The sequence below is a fragment of the Homo sapiens genome, chromosome 11, assembly GCF_000001405.40.
Source record: "Homo sapiens chromosome 11, GRCh38.p14 Primary Assembly".
Lineage (NCBI taxonomy): Eukaryota > Metazoa > Chordata > Mammalia > Primates > Hominidae > Homo > Homo sapiens.
The window spans coordinates 67839089-67853344 of record NC_000011.10 but is presented as its reverse complement, the minus strand read 5'-3'; the positions used below and the strand labels follow the sequence as shown (position 1 = coordinate 67853344).

The 14256-nt window shown below is 45.4% G+C and overlaps 1 protein-coding gene and 1 pseudogene across 1 annotated transcript in view, besides 1 other annotated feature; both read left to right on the top strand.

The window, feature by feature from the left end:
• LOC112268076 (translation initiation factor IF-2-like) overlaps positions 1-14256 on the top strand; it is a 154152-nt gene that overhangs the window by 112816 nt on the left and 27080 nt on the right. The gene's annotated exons all lie outside the window — the stretch shown is intronic.
• ENPP7P7 (ectonucleotide pyrophosphatase/phosphodiesterase 7 pseudogene 7) overlaps positions 1-14256 on the top strand; it is a 60830-nt pseudogene that overhangs the window by 20027 nt on the left and 26547 nt on the right.
• Positions 9773-10358: an enhancer, noted in NCBI's record as "NANOG hESC enhancer chr11:67610458-67611043 (GRCh37/hg19 assembly coordinates)". NCBI's record gives its function as "activates a minimal SCP1, AML or CMV promoter by ChIP-STARR-seq in primed H9 embryonic stem cells {active_cell/tissue: H9 hESC(primed)}" and the evidence as "EXISTENCE:reporter gene assay evidence [ECO:0000049][PMID:30033119]".

The following is a 14256-nucleotide window of genomic DNA, read 5'->3' as shown; positions in this document are numbered from 1 at the left end:
TAGGCAATTGCCCCGGAGGAATGCCTCCTCAGAGCAGTGTGTTGTAGGCCCCCATGGAGGATCAACACAGTGGCTGAACACAGGGAAGGAAGAGGCACTTGGAGTCCGGACATTTGAAACTTGGTAAGACTGGTCTTTGGAACTTGCCCACTCCATTTGAGTGGAAGCGTGGCCTGATCACCCATGGCGTGCCTGTACTGGCACTTTGGTTCTTGTTTTTGACTTGACTTGAATTGCTTGATACTTTGGTTTTAGTTTGACCTGGCTTGGATTTCTGGATACTCTGATTTTGGTTTTGATTCTGGTTTGGTGAAAACTGAAAAAGTGTGTGTGTGCCCTTTTTACCCATTCTTTGTTCTGTGGTGTGCGTGTGGTGTGAGCTTGGTGTTTTGTCTCGAGGAAACATGGGTCAGATACAAAGTAAGCCCACTCCGCTGGGAACTATGTTGAAAAATTTTAAGAAAGGATGTAATGGAGACTTTGGGGAACTTAGAACTTTGTATGAAATAGATTGGCTAACATTAGAAGTAGGGTGGCCATCAGAAGGAAGCCTGGACAGGTCCCTTGTTTCTAAGGTATGGCACAAGGTAACTGGTAAGTCAGGACACTCAGACCAGTTTCCATACATAGACACTTGGTTACAGCTGATGCTAAACCCCCCACAGTGGCTAAGAGGGCAGGCAGCAGCAGTGCTAGTAGCAAAGGGACAGATAGCCAAGGAAGAATCCCGCTCCACCCGCCAAGGGAAATCAACTCCTGAAGTTCTGTTCGACCCAACATCAGAAGATCCATTGCAGGAGATGGCACCAGTGATCCCAGTGGTGCCCTCTCTTTACCAGGGAGGCAGGCTCCCCACTTTTGAGTCCACAGTGCTTGCGCCTCCACAAGACAAACATATTCCTAAGCCACCCAGAGTAGACAAGAGAGGAGGTGAGGACTCGGGAGAAACCCCTCCCTTGGCAGCTCGTTTAAGACCCAAAACGGGGACACAAATGCCCCTGAGAGAGCAGCGGTAGACTGGGATAGATGAGGATGGTCACGTAGTGGGGAGGCGTGTTTTGGGTACCAGCCCTTCACCTCTGCCCACCTTCTCAACTGGAAAAACAATACCCCGTCCTGTACCGAAAAGCCACAAGCTCTGATTGATTTGCTCCAAACTATTATCCAGACCCATAACCCCACCTGGGCTGATTGCCACCAGTTACTCATGTTCCTCTTTAACACGGATGAAAGGGGGAGAGTGCTCCAAGCAGCAACTGAGTGGCTAGAGGAACATGCACCAGCTGATTACCAAAACCCCCAAGAGTATGTAAGGACCCAGTTACCAAGAACTGACCCCCAGTGGGACCCACATGAAAGAGAGGATATGCAAAGGCTAAACAGAGACTGGGAAGCTCTCTTGGAAGGATTAAAGAGGGGAGCCCAGAAGGCCACAAATGTTAACAAAGTCTCTGAGGTCATTCAGAGAAAAGAAGAAAGTCCAGCACAATTGTAGGAGAGACTGTGTAAGGCCTATGGTATGTATACTCCCTTTGATCCCGATAGCCCTGAAAATCAACGCATGATTAACACGGCTTTAGTTACTCAAAGTGCAGAAGACATTAGAAGAAAACTGCAGCAACAGGCTGAGTTTGCAGGGATGAACACATCAGAGTTATTACAAATAGCTAACCAGGCGTTTGTAAACAGGGATGCAGTAAGCCGTAAGGAAAACCACAGAGACAATGAACGTCAGGCCCAGCGAAACACCGACCTGTTAGCGGCAGCAATCAGAGGGGTCCCCCCAAAGAGGCAAGGGAAAGGGGGCCCCGGGAAGGAAACTCAGCCTGGCTGTCAGAGCTTGCAGCGTAATCAGTGTGCTTATTGTAAAGAAATAGGACATTGGAAAAACAAATGCCCTCAGCTAAAAAGAAAACCAGGTGACTCAGAGCAGGAGGCCCCAGACAAGGATGAAGGGGCCCTGCTCAACCTGGCAGAAGGGTTATTGGACTGAGGGGGACTGGGCTCAAGGACCCCCAAAGAGCCTATGGTCAGGATGACAGTTTGGGGTAAAGACATTGATTTTCTTGTAGATAGCGGTGCTGGACATTCGGTAGTAACCACCCCGGTCGCCCCCTTATCCAAAAAGATTATTAACATCATCAGAGCCATGGGAGTTTCAGCAAAGCAAGCTTTCTGCTTGCCTCGGACTTGTGCTGTAGGAGGACATAAAGTGATTCATCAGTGTTTGTACACACCTGACTGTCCCTTGCGCTTGTTGGGAAGGGACTTGCTTAGCAAACTGAGAGCCACTATCTCTTTTACAGAGCATGGCTCTTTGCTGCTAAAGTCACCCAGAACAGGAGTCATTATGACCCTTACGGTCCCCCGAGAGGAAGAATGGAGACTTTTCTTAACTGAGTGGGGCCAAGAGATAAGACCGGCTCTGGCTAAGCGGTGGCCAAGAGTGTGGGTGGAAGACAACCCTCCAGGGTTTGCAGTCAACCAAGCCCCCGTACTTATAGAAGTTAAGCCTAGGGCCCAGCCAGTTAGGCAAAAACAGGATCCGGTCCCCAGAGAAGCTCTTGAAGGTATCCAGGTCCATCTCAAGCACCTAAGAAGTTTTGGAATTAGAGTTTCTTGTCAGTCTTCATGGAACACTCCCCTCTTGCCTGTTCCCAAGCCTAAGATCAAGGACTACTGGCCGGTACAGGATTTGCGCTTGGTTAATCAGGCTGCAGTGACTTTACATCCAGCAGTACCTAACCCGTACACATTGCTGGGGTTGCTGCCAGCTGAGGACAGCTGCTTCACCTGCTTGGACCTGAAAGATGCTTTCTTTAGCATCAGATTAGCCCCTGAGAGACAGAAGCTGTTTGCCTTTCTCTGTTTGACTTCCGGATCTGGGAAGATCCGGAGTCAGGTGTCACTACTCAGTACACTTGGACCGGGCTTCCCCAAGGGTTCAAGAACTCCCCCACCATCTTTGGGGAGGCATTGCCTCGAGACCTCCAGAGGTTTCCCACCAGAGACCTAGACTGCATTTTGCTCCAGTACGTTGATGATCTTTTGCTGGGACACCCCACGGCAGTCGGGTGCACCAAAGAAACAGATGCCCTACTCCGGCATCTGGAGGACTGTGGGTATAAGATGTCCAAGAAAAAAGCTTAGATCTGCTGACAGCAGGTACATTACTTAGGATTTACTATCCGAAAGGGGGAGAGCAGCCTAGGATCAGAAAGAAAGCAGGTCATTTGAAATCTACTGGAGCCTAAGACCAGAAGGCAGGTGAGAGAATTCCTATGGGCTGTGGGGTTTTGCAGACTGTAGATCCCAAACTTTGCAGTATAAGCCAAGCCTTTGTATGAGGTCACAAAGGGGTGGGGCGGGAACGTTTTGAATGGGGATCCCAGCAACAGCAAGCCTTTCATGAGTTAAAGGAAAAACTTATGTCAGCCCCAGCCCTGAAGCTACCCGATCTAACAAAGCCTTTTCCATTGTATGTGTCAGAGAGAGAAAAGATGGCAGTTGGAGTTTTAACCCAAACTGTGGGGCCCTGGCCGAGGCCGGTGGCCTACCTCTCTAAACAACTAGACGGGGTTTCTAAAGGATGGCCCCCATGTTTGAGGGCCTTGGCAGCAACTGCCCTGCTAGTACAAGAAGCAGATAAGCTGACTCTTGGACAAAACCTGAACATAAAGGCCTCCCATGCTGTGGTGACTTTAATGAATACTAAAGGACATCATTGGCTAATGAATGCTAGACTCACTAAGTACTAAAGTTTGCTCTGTGAAAATCCCCATATAACCATTGAAGTTTGTAACACCCTGAACCCCGCTACCTTGCTCCCAGTATCAGAGAGCCCTGTCGAGCATGACTGTGTAGAAGTGTTGGACTCAGTTGACTCTAGCAGACCTAACCTCCAGGACCAGCCTTAGGCATCAGTAGACTGGGAACTATACGTGGCTGGGAGCAGCTTCATCAACCCACAAGGAGAGAGATGTGCAAGATATGCGGTGGTAACTCTAGACACTGTTGCTGAAGCCAGATCGTTTCCCCAGGGCACTTCAGCTCAGAAAGCTGAACTCATTGCTTTAATTCGGGCCTTAGAACTCAATGAAGCTAAGAATGTCAACATTTACACTGACTCTCATTAAGCCTTTTCAACCCTTCAAGTGCGTGGAGCATTATATAAAGAAAAGGGCCTATTGAACTCTGGGGGAAAAGACATAAAATATCAACAAGAAATCTTGCAATTATTAAAAGCCATATGGAGACCCCACAAGGTGGCAGTTATGCGTTGCAGAGGATACCAGCGAGCTTCCACCTTGGTGGGTTTAGGGAATTCCCGCGCTGACTTAGAGGCTCGAAAAGCAGCATCTGCCCCCTTCCGGGCATCAGTCACAGCCCCCATGCTCCCTCAAGTACCTGATCTTGTACCTACTTATTCTAAAGAAGAAAAGGACTTTCTCCAGGCAGAGAGAGGACAAGTGATGGAGGAAGGATGAATTCGGTTACCGGATGGGAGAGTAGCTGTGCCACAGCTGCTAGGAGCTGCAGTTGTACTGGCTGTGCAAGAAGCCACCCATCTAGGCCAGGAATCACTTGAAAAGTTGTTAGGCTGGTATTTCTACATCTCGCATTTGTCAGCTCTTGCCAAAACGGTGACGCAGTGGTGTGTTACCTGCCGACAGCATAAAGCGAGGCAAGGTCCAGCTATTCCACCCGGCATACAAGCTTATGGAGCAGCCCCCTTTGAAGATCTCCAGGTGGACTTCACAGAGATGTCAAAGTGTAGAGGTAACAAGTATTTACTAGTTCTTGGGCGTACCTACTCTGGGTAGGTGGAGGCTTATCCAACACGAACTGAGAAAGTTCGTGAAGTAACCCGTGTGCTTCTTCGAGATCTTATTCCTAGATTTGAACTGTCCTTAGGGATCGGCTCAGATAACAGGCCAGCATTTGTGGCTGACTTAGTACAGAAGGCGGCAAAGATATTAGGGATCACATGGAAACTGCATGCTGCCTAGTGGCCTCAGAGTTCCGGAAAGGTGGAGCGAATGCATCAAACTATCAAAAATAGTTTAGGGAAAGTATGTCAGGAAACAGGATTAAAATGGCTACAGGCTCTCCCTATGGTATTATTTAAAATTAGATGTACCGCTTCTAAAAGAACAGGATATTTCCCTTATGAAATATTATATCGTAGGCCCCCTCCTATATTGCGGGGACTTCCAGGCACTCCCTGAGAGTTAGGTGAAATTGAGTTACAGCGACAGCTACAGGCCTTAGGAAAAGTTACACAAAAAATCTCAGCCTGGGTAAATGAGAGATGCCCTGTTAGCTTATTCTCCCCAGTTCACCCATTCTCCCCAGATGATCGAGTGTGGATCAAGGACTGGAAAGTTGCCTGTTTGTGTCCACGGTGGAAAGGACCCCAGATTGTCGTCCTGAGCACTCCCACCGCTGTGAAGGTGGAAGGAATCCCAGCCTGGATCCAACACAGCCATATAAAACCTGCAGCGCCTGAAACCTGGGAGGCAAGACCAAGCCCAGATAACCCTTGCAGAGTGACCCTGAAGAAGATGACAAGCCCTGCTCCAGTCACCCGGAAGCTGACTAGTCCAAGCACGGCCGAAGCCTGAGGAAGCTCATCATGAGATTCATTTTTCTTAAATTTTGGACTTATACAGTAAGGGCTTCAACTGACCTTACTCAAACTGGGGACTGTTCCCAGTGTATTCATCAGGTCACCGAAGCAGGACAGCAAATTAAAACAATCTTTCTGTTCTATAGTTATTATGAATGTATGGAAACAATAAGAGAAACTTGTTTGTATAATGCCACTCAGTACAAGGTATGTAGCCCGAGAAATGACCGACCTGATGTGTGTTATAACCCATCTGAGCCCCCTGCACCACCGTTTTTGAAATAAGAATAAGAACTGGCCTTTTCCTAGGTGATACAAGTAAAATAATAACTAGAACAGAAGAAAAAGAAATCCCCAAGCAAATAACTTTAAGATTTGATGCTTGTGCAGCCATTAATAGTAAAAAGCTAGAAATAGGATGTGGTTCTCTTAACTGAGAAAGGAGCTAAAGAGTAGAAATAAATGTTTGTCATGAGTCAGGGGTTTGTAAAAATTGTGCCTATTGGCCATGTGTTATTTAGGCTACTTTAAAAAAGAACAAAAAGGACCCGGTTTATCTTCAGAAGGGGGAAGCCAACCCCTCCTGTGCTGCCGGTCACTGTAACCCACTAGAACTAATAATTACCAATCCCCTAGATCCCCATTGGAAAAAGGGAGAACGTGTAACCCTGGGGATCAATAGGACAGGGTTAAACCCTCAAGTTGTCATTTTAATTAGAGGGGAGGTCCACAAGTGCTCTCCCAAACCAGTATTTCAAACCTTTTATGAGGAGCTGAATCTGCCAGCACCAGAACTTCTGAAAAAGACAAAAAATTTGTTTCTCCAATTAGCAGAAAATGTAATTTTCTTACTTAATGTTACTTCTTGTTATGTACGCGGAGGAACCACTATCGGAGACAGATGGCCTTGGGAAGCCCGAGAGTTGGTGCCTACTGATCCAGCTCCTGATATAATTCCAGTTTAGAAGGCCGAAGCTAGCAACTTCTAGGTCCTAAAAACCTCAATTATTAGACAATACTGTATAGCTAGAGAAGGGAAAGACTTTATCATCCCTGTAGGAAAGCCTAATTGTATAGGACAGAAGTTGTATAACAGCACAACAAAGACAATTACTTAGTAGGACCTAAACCACACTGAAAAGAATCCATTTAGTAAATTTTCTAAATTAAAAACTGCTTAGGCTCATCCAGAATCTCATCAGGACTGGACAGTTCCCTCTGGACTATACTAGATATGTAGGCACAGAGCCTACTTTCGGTTACCTAATAAATGGGCAGACAGTTGTGTTATTGGCACTATTAAGCCATCCTTTTTCTTATTACCCATAAAAATGGGTGAGCTGCTAGGTTTCTCTGTCTACGCCTCCCGAGAAAAGAAAGGCATAGTTATAGGAAACTGGAAAGATAATGAGTGGCCCCGTGAAAGGATCATTCAGTATTATGGGCCTGCCACATGGGCACAAGATGGCTCATGGGGATACCGAACCCATCTACATGCTCAATTGGATCATACGGTTGCAGGTCATCTTAGAAATAATTTCTAATGAAACTGGCAGAGCTTTGACTGTTTTAGCTTGGCAAGAAACCCAAATGAGGAATGCTATCTATCAGAATAGACTGGCCTTAGACTACTTGCTAGTAGCTGAAGGAGGAGTTTGTAGAAAATTTAACTTAACCAATTGCTGCCTACAAATAAATGATCAAGGACAGGTGGTTAAAAACATAGTCAGGGACATGACAAAGGTGGCACATGTGCCTGTACAGGTTTGGCACGAGTTTAATCCTGAGTCTTTATTTGAAAAATGGTTTCCAGCTATAAGAGGATTTAAAACCCTCATTGTAGGTGTATTGCTAGTGATAGGAACTTGCTTGCTGCTCCCCTGTGTATTACCCTTGCTTTTTCAAATGATCAAAGGTTTTGTAGCTACTTTGGTTCATCAGAAAACTTCAGCACACGTGTGTTATATAAATCACTATCGCTCTATCTCACAAATAGACTCAAAAAGTAAAGATGAGAGTGAGAACTCCCACTAAAAAGTGAAAATGCTCAAAGGGGGGAAATATGGTATGAGACCACCACTTCTCCTGTTGTCCTTCCCAGTTTCTCCCCAACCTCCCCTTTTCCCTAGTTTGTAAGACAGCAAAAAAGGGAGAAAGCAAAAAGTTGGAAAAAACAGAAGTAAAATAAATAGCTAGACGACCTTGGCGCCACCACCTGGCCCCGGTGGTTAAAACAACAATAATATTAACCCCTGACCAAAACTACCTGTGTTATCTGTAAATCCCAGACATTGTATGAGAAAGCACTGTAAAAACTTTTTGTTCTGTTAGCTGATGTTTGTAGCCCCCAGTCACGTTCCTCAGGCTTACTTGATCTATTATGACTTTTTCACGTAGACCCTTTAGAGTTGTAAGCCCTTAAAAGGGCTAGGAATTTCTTTTTCCGGGAGCTCGGCTCTTAAGACACCAGTCTGCCAACGCTCCTGGCTGAATAAAAAAACCTCTTCCTTCTTTAATCTGGTGTCTGAGGAGTTTTGTCTGCAACTCGTCCTGCTACACTAGCTCTCCGTGACTCATCCCAACCCTTTTCATTACACACAGCTGAAGTGCAGCGCTGTGCAGTTGAAATTCTTACACAAGGACCAGGATGGCATCCTGTAGCCTTTTTGTCCAAACAACTTGACCTTATTGTTTTAGGTTGGCTGTTATGTCTCTGTGCAGCAGCTGCTGCCATCCTAATACTTTAAAGGCCCTTAAAATCACAAACTATGCTCAACTCACTCTCTACAGCTCTCATAATTTCCAAAATGTATTTTCTTCCTCACACCTGCCACATATACATTCTGCTCCCCGGCTCCTTCTGCTGTACTCTTTGTTGAGTCTCCCACAATTACCATTGTTCCTGGCCCGGACTTCAATCCAGCCTCCCACATTATTCCTGATACCACACCTGACCCTCATGACTGCATCTCTCTGATCCACCTGACATTCACCCCATGTCCCCACATTTCCTTCTTCCCAGTTTCTCACCCTGACCACACTTAGTTTATTGATGGCAGTTCCACCAGGCCTAATTGCCACACACCAGCAAAAGCAGGCTATGCTATAGTACAAGCCACTAGCCTGCCTCTTAGAACCTCTCATTTCCTTTCCATCGTGGAAATCTATCCTCAAGGAAATAACTTCTCAGTGTTCCATCTGCTATTCTACTACTCCTCAGGGATTCTTCAGGCCCCCTCCCTTCCCTACACATCAAGCTCAGGGATTTGCCCCCACCCAGGACTGGCAAATTAGCTTTACTCAACGTGCCCCGAGTCAGGAAACTAAAATAACTCTTGGTCTAGGTAGACACTTTCACTGGATAGGTAGAGGCCTTTCCCACAGGGTCTAAGAAGGCCACCACGGTCATTTCTTCCCTTCTGTCAGACGTAATTCCTCAGTTTGGCTTTCCCACGTCTATACAGTCCCATAGCAGACCGGCCTTTATTAATCAAGTCAGCCAAGCATTTTTTCAGGCTCTTAGTATTCAGTGAAACCTTTATATTTCTTACAGTCCTTAGTCTTCAGGAAAGGTAGAACAGACTAATGGTCTTTTAAAACACACCTTACCAAGCTCAGCCACCAACTTAAAAAGGACTGGACAATACTTTTACCACTTTCCCTTCTCAGAATTCAGGCCTGTCTTCGGAATGCTACAAGGTACAGCCCATTTGTTGCGGGAAGTCAGGGACCCCAAACGGAGGGACCGGCTGAAGCCATGGCAGAAGAACGTGGATTGTGAAGATTTTATGGACATTTATTAGTTCCCCAAATTAATACTTTTGTAATTTCTTATGCCTGCCTTTACTGCAGTCTCTAAACATAAATTGTAAAGATTCCATGGACACTTATCACTTCCCCAATCAATATCCTTGTGATTTCCTATGCTTGTCTTTGCTTTAATCTCTTAATCCTGTCAGCCGAGAAGAATTTATATCATCTCAGGACCCTGTAATAATTGTATTAACTACACAAATTGTACAGCATGTGTGTTTGAGCAATATGAAATGTGGGCACCCTGAAAAAAGAACAGGATAACAGCAATTGTTCAGGGAATAAGAGAGATAACCTTAAACTCTGACCGCCGGTGAGCCGGGCAGAACAGCCATATTTCTCTTCTTTCAAAAGCAAATGGGAGAAATATCGCTGAATTCCTTTTCTCAGCATGGAACGTCCCTGAGAAAGAGAATGCACACCTAGGGGTAGGTCTCTGAACTGGCTCCCCGCCGGGCGTACCTGTCTCTTATGGTCGAGATTGCAGAGGTGAAATAAACTCCAGTCTCCCATAGTGCTCCCAGGCTTATTAGGAAGAGGAAATTCCCGCCTAATAAACTTTGGTCAGACCGGTTGATCTCAAAACCCTGTCTCCTGATAAGATGTTATCAATGACAATGGTGCCAAAACTTCATCAACAATTTTAACTTCACTTCGGTCCTGTGGTCCTATGATCTTGCCCTGTCTCCACTTGCCTTGTGATATTCTATTACCTTGTTAAGTACTTGATGTCTGTCACCCACACCTATTCGTATACTCCCTCCCCTTTTGAAACTCCCTAATAAAAACTTGCTGGTTTTTGTGGCTTGTGGGGCATCACGGATCCTACCAATATGTGATGTCTCCCCCGGATGCCCAGCTTTAAAATTTCTCTTTTTTGTACTCTGTCCTTTTATTTCTCAAGCCAGTTGACACTTAGGAAAATAGAAAAGAAACTACGTGATTATCGGGGCAGGTCCCCCGATACCCATTGGATCTCCTGTATAGACGCTCCTTTTTATTAGGCCCAAGTCTCATTCCAGACACAAGACCAACTTGGACTGTGCCCCAAAAAACTTGTCATCCCTACTATCTTCTGTCTAGTCATACTCCTATTCACCGTTCTCAACTACTCATATATGCCCTGCTCTTGTTTACACTGGTGGTTTACACTGTTTCTCCAAGCCATCACAGGTGATATCTCCTGGTGCTATCCCCAAACCACCACTCTTAACTCTTAAATAAATAATCTTTGCTGGCAAGGCTATGCTGAACCTCCTTAGGCACTCTCTAATTAGAGGTCCTAGGTCCTCCCAATTCTTCGTCCTTTAATACCTGTTTTTCTCCTTCTCTTATTCCGTTTAGTTTTTCAATTCATACAAAACTGTATCCAGGCCATCACCAATAATTCTAAATAACAACCCCACAATATCACCCCTTACCACAAAATCTTCCTTCAGCTTCATCTCTCCCACTCGAGGTTCCCACGCTGCCCCTAATCAAAGCAGCCCTGAGAAACATCGCCCATTATCTCTCCATACCACCCCCAGAAATTTTTCACCATCCCAACACTTTACCACTATTTCATTTTATTTTTCTTATTAATGTACGAAGACAGGAACGTCAGGCCTCTGAGCCCAAGCTAAGCCATCATATCCCCTGTGACCTGCATGTACACATCCAGATGGCCGATTTCTGCCTTAACTGATGACATTCCACCACAAAAGAAATGAAAATGGCCTGTTCCTGCCTTAACTGATGACATTATCTTGTGAAATTCCTTCTCCTTGCTCATCCTGGCTCAAAAGCTCCCCTACTGAGCACCTTGTGACCCCCACTCCTGCCTGCCAGACAACACCCCTTTTTCCTTTACCTACCCAAATCTGATAAAACGGCCCCACCCCTATCTCCCTTCGCTGACTCTTTTTGGACTCAGCCCACCTGCACCCAGGTGAAATAAACAGCTTTATTGCTCACACAAAGCCTGTTTTGTGGTCTCTTCACACGGATGCGCATGAAAAGGAGTGTCCTTTTTTTTTTTTTTTTTTGAGACGGAGTTTCACTCTTGTTGCCCAGGCTGGAGTGCAATGACATGATCTCAGCTCACTGCCACTTCCTCCTCTTGGGTTCAAGCAACTCTCTTGCCTCAGCCTCCCCAGTAGCTGGGATTGCAGGCATGTGCCACCATGCCCGGCTAATTTTGTATTTTTAGTAGAGATGGGGTTTCTCCATGTTGGTCAGGCTGGTCTCGAACTCCTGACCTGAGGTGATCCACCCGCCTCGGCCTCCCAAAGTGCTGGGATTACAGGCATGAGCCACTGTGCCTGGACAAAAGTGTCCTCTTATAAGGACACTTGTCTTCAGATGTACAGCCTACCTAAAATCCTCCAGGATAATCTCAAGATCCTTAATTACATCTGCAAAGACCCTTTTTCCAAATAATGCCACCTCCACAGATTCTAGGCACAAGGATCTGGATATATCTTGTGCAAAGCCACAATTCAGCTCACTACATTAGAAAGAGGAAAAACAACGAAATAATAAAAGGCGCAGAAGAAAGAACAGATGCAGCTTGTGTGGCAGTGGCCATCAAGGCAGGCTGGGGTAAAACTGTGTTAACAGAACCCCCAGATGGAACTCAAGTGTGGCCGTCTACTCCCAGCTACTCACAGAGAACGTTTCTGTTTCTGACAGCAGAGTAAGAGAAGAGGTGGGAAGAGAGAGAGCCCATTCTCTGTTGGCCTAATTCCTAAGGAATTGTGCCTCTGCCTTCGGGTCATTCTCAAGTCTTGTTCAAGGATAAAATGATTTATTGATGGCCGTAATTAAAAAGCAATGCCAACAGAAGCAGCCTCAGCATTTTTCATTTGTACTTACACATGAGCGAGAGCAGTTTAGGGAAACGGGTGCCTTCAGGTTCTGTTTTCTCCATCTAGAGAAGGGCTGCCTTCGTGGAATGCTGGTCCTGGGGAGAAGCCTCATTTCTATAGCAGGAATTGATACAGTTTTAAATTCCGATTGGTACACGGAGCTATCCGTCCTCACTTCAAACACTTCTGGTTGTTCTGGGTTCAGTGGGTGAGCAATGAGTAGAACTCTGGGGAGGAGGATTTGGAGTGAGCGTGGTTTTGATCCCCAGAGGGAGCTGTTTTTCCATCAATGTCTTGACTGTGATTCAGAATGGGCTTCTCCGCTCAAGATGGGAGTACTGGGCTGATTTAAGGCAAGTGATTGACTTGATTTGGTGGCTACTTTTATACTAGCTGGTTAACGAGATATTTTCTTCATTAGTTTCAGGCATGTGAGCTTAATGAAGCATTGGACCTTCCAACTTACAAGGAAAATAAAGATATAGCTTACGTGGTAGGTTCAAAGGAGTTAGTGAACAAACACAGTAGGGCCACAAATTATTGTTAAAGACATGAATGCATGAAAGTGTATCTATGTCCAAATGGACTCTCTGCAACCATACTGTTCCACCTGAAAATTAGTAGAAATTCAGCAAATGCTTGGACACGGGATACTCTCAGAAGTATTCTGACTAAATAGCATGGTTCTTTTCATATCACTAAAGTAATTTCTTCTCAAATTGACTCTGGACTAAATCTTATGATACCTACTTGTTCCGATTGTACTTAGCCACCTGCAAATAAGGTGGGGGCAGTGGTAAGAGGAGCTGTTGAATGAAATTAAACATTTGCTGGATGCCTACTGAAGATAAAGCCCTGTGCTTTGTGCCAGGGAGATTCCAGAATAAATGAGGCACAGACCTACTCTCAGGAAGCTTTTGCAAACTAATGGAGAAAACACATCTGCAGGCAATGACTTATGGTATAAGAGGAAATGTGGCCAGGTACAGTGACTCACACCTGTAATCCCAGCACTTTGGGAGGCCGAGGTAGGTGGATCACTTGAGGTCAGGAGTTCAAGACCAGCCTGGCCAACGTGGCGAAACACTGTCTCTACTAAAAATGCAAAAAAAAAAAAAAAAATTAGCCAGGCTTGATGGTGTGCACCTGCAATCCCAGCTACTTGGGAGGCTGAGGCACAAGAATCACTTAAATCTGGGAGGTGGAGACTGTAGTGAGCCGAGATCCCACTACTGCACTCCAGCCTAGAAGACAGAGCGAGACTCTGTCAAAAAAAAAAAAAGGAAATAAGATTGGTGTTGAATGGGAAATCTAAGCAGGATGGAATGGCAGGAGACCGCCCACTTGCCCAGCTCCAATAACACTTTTGACAGCCATGACAATATTGCAGGGACACCCATTCCTCATGGTATCTGAACTCCCATGAAGGCTTGAGTCTGGAGGCTGGTTCAGTCTTGACTTTAAGATAAGGGGATACAAGGAATGATTTTCATCTATCCCAAGCCAATAGTCCAGCCAAAAATCTAGGTCTGAGATGATGAGAGAAAGCAAGTCATCAGCCATGTCAGCCATTTCATCATCATCATCATCATCATCATCATCATCATCAAAAACAAAAGACGGACCTGTAACCATCTTGTGTGCCTGGTTCTCATCTTATTTCAAAATATAGAAGTAAATTCTATGGCCAGTGAACAATGACCAAAATAGCTCTCATCACTCTTGTCTGCCACCATGTAAGACGTGCCTTTTTCCTTCCACCATGATTTTGAGACTTCTTCAGCCACATGGAACTGTGAGCCCATTAAACCTCTTTTTTCTTTATAAATTACCCAGTCTTGAGTAATAAAATAGTGGTTGGTCCACAACATCAAGGAACAATGCTGTTACTTGTTCCAAACACGTATCATTTAGGAGGTTTGGATAAACAACAACCTAAAATAAATAAGCACTAAGCAAACTCAG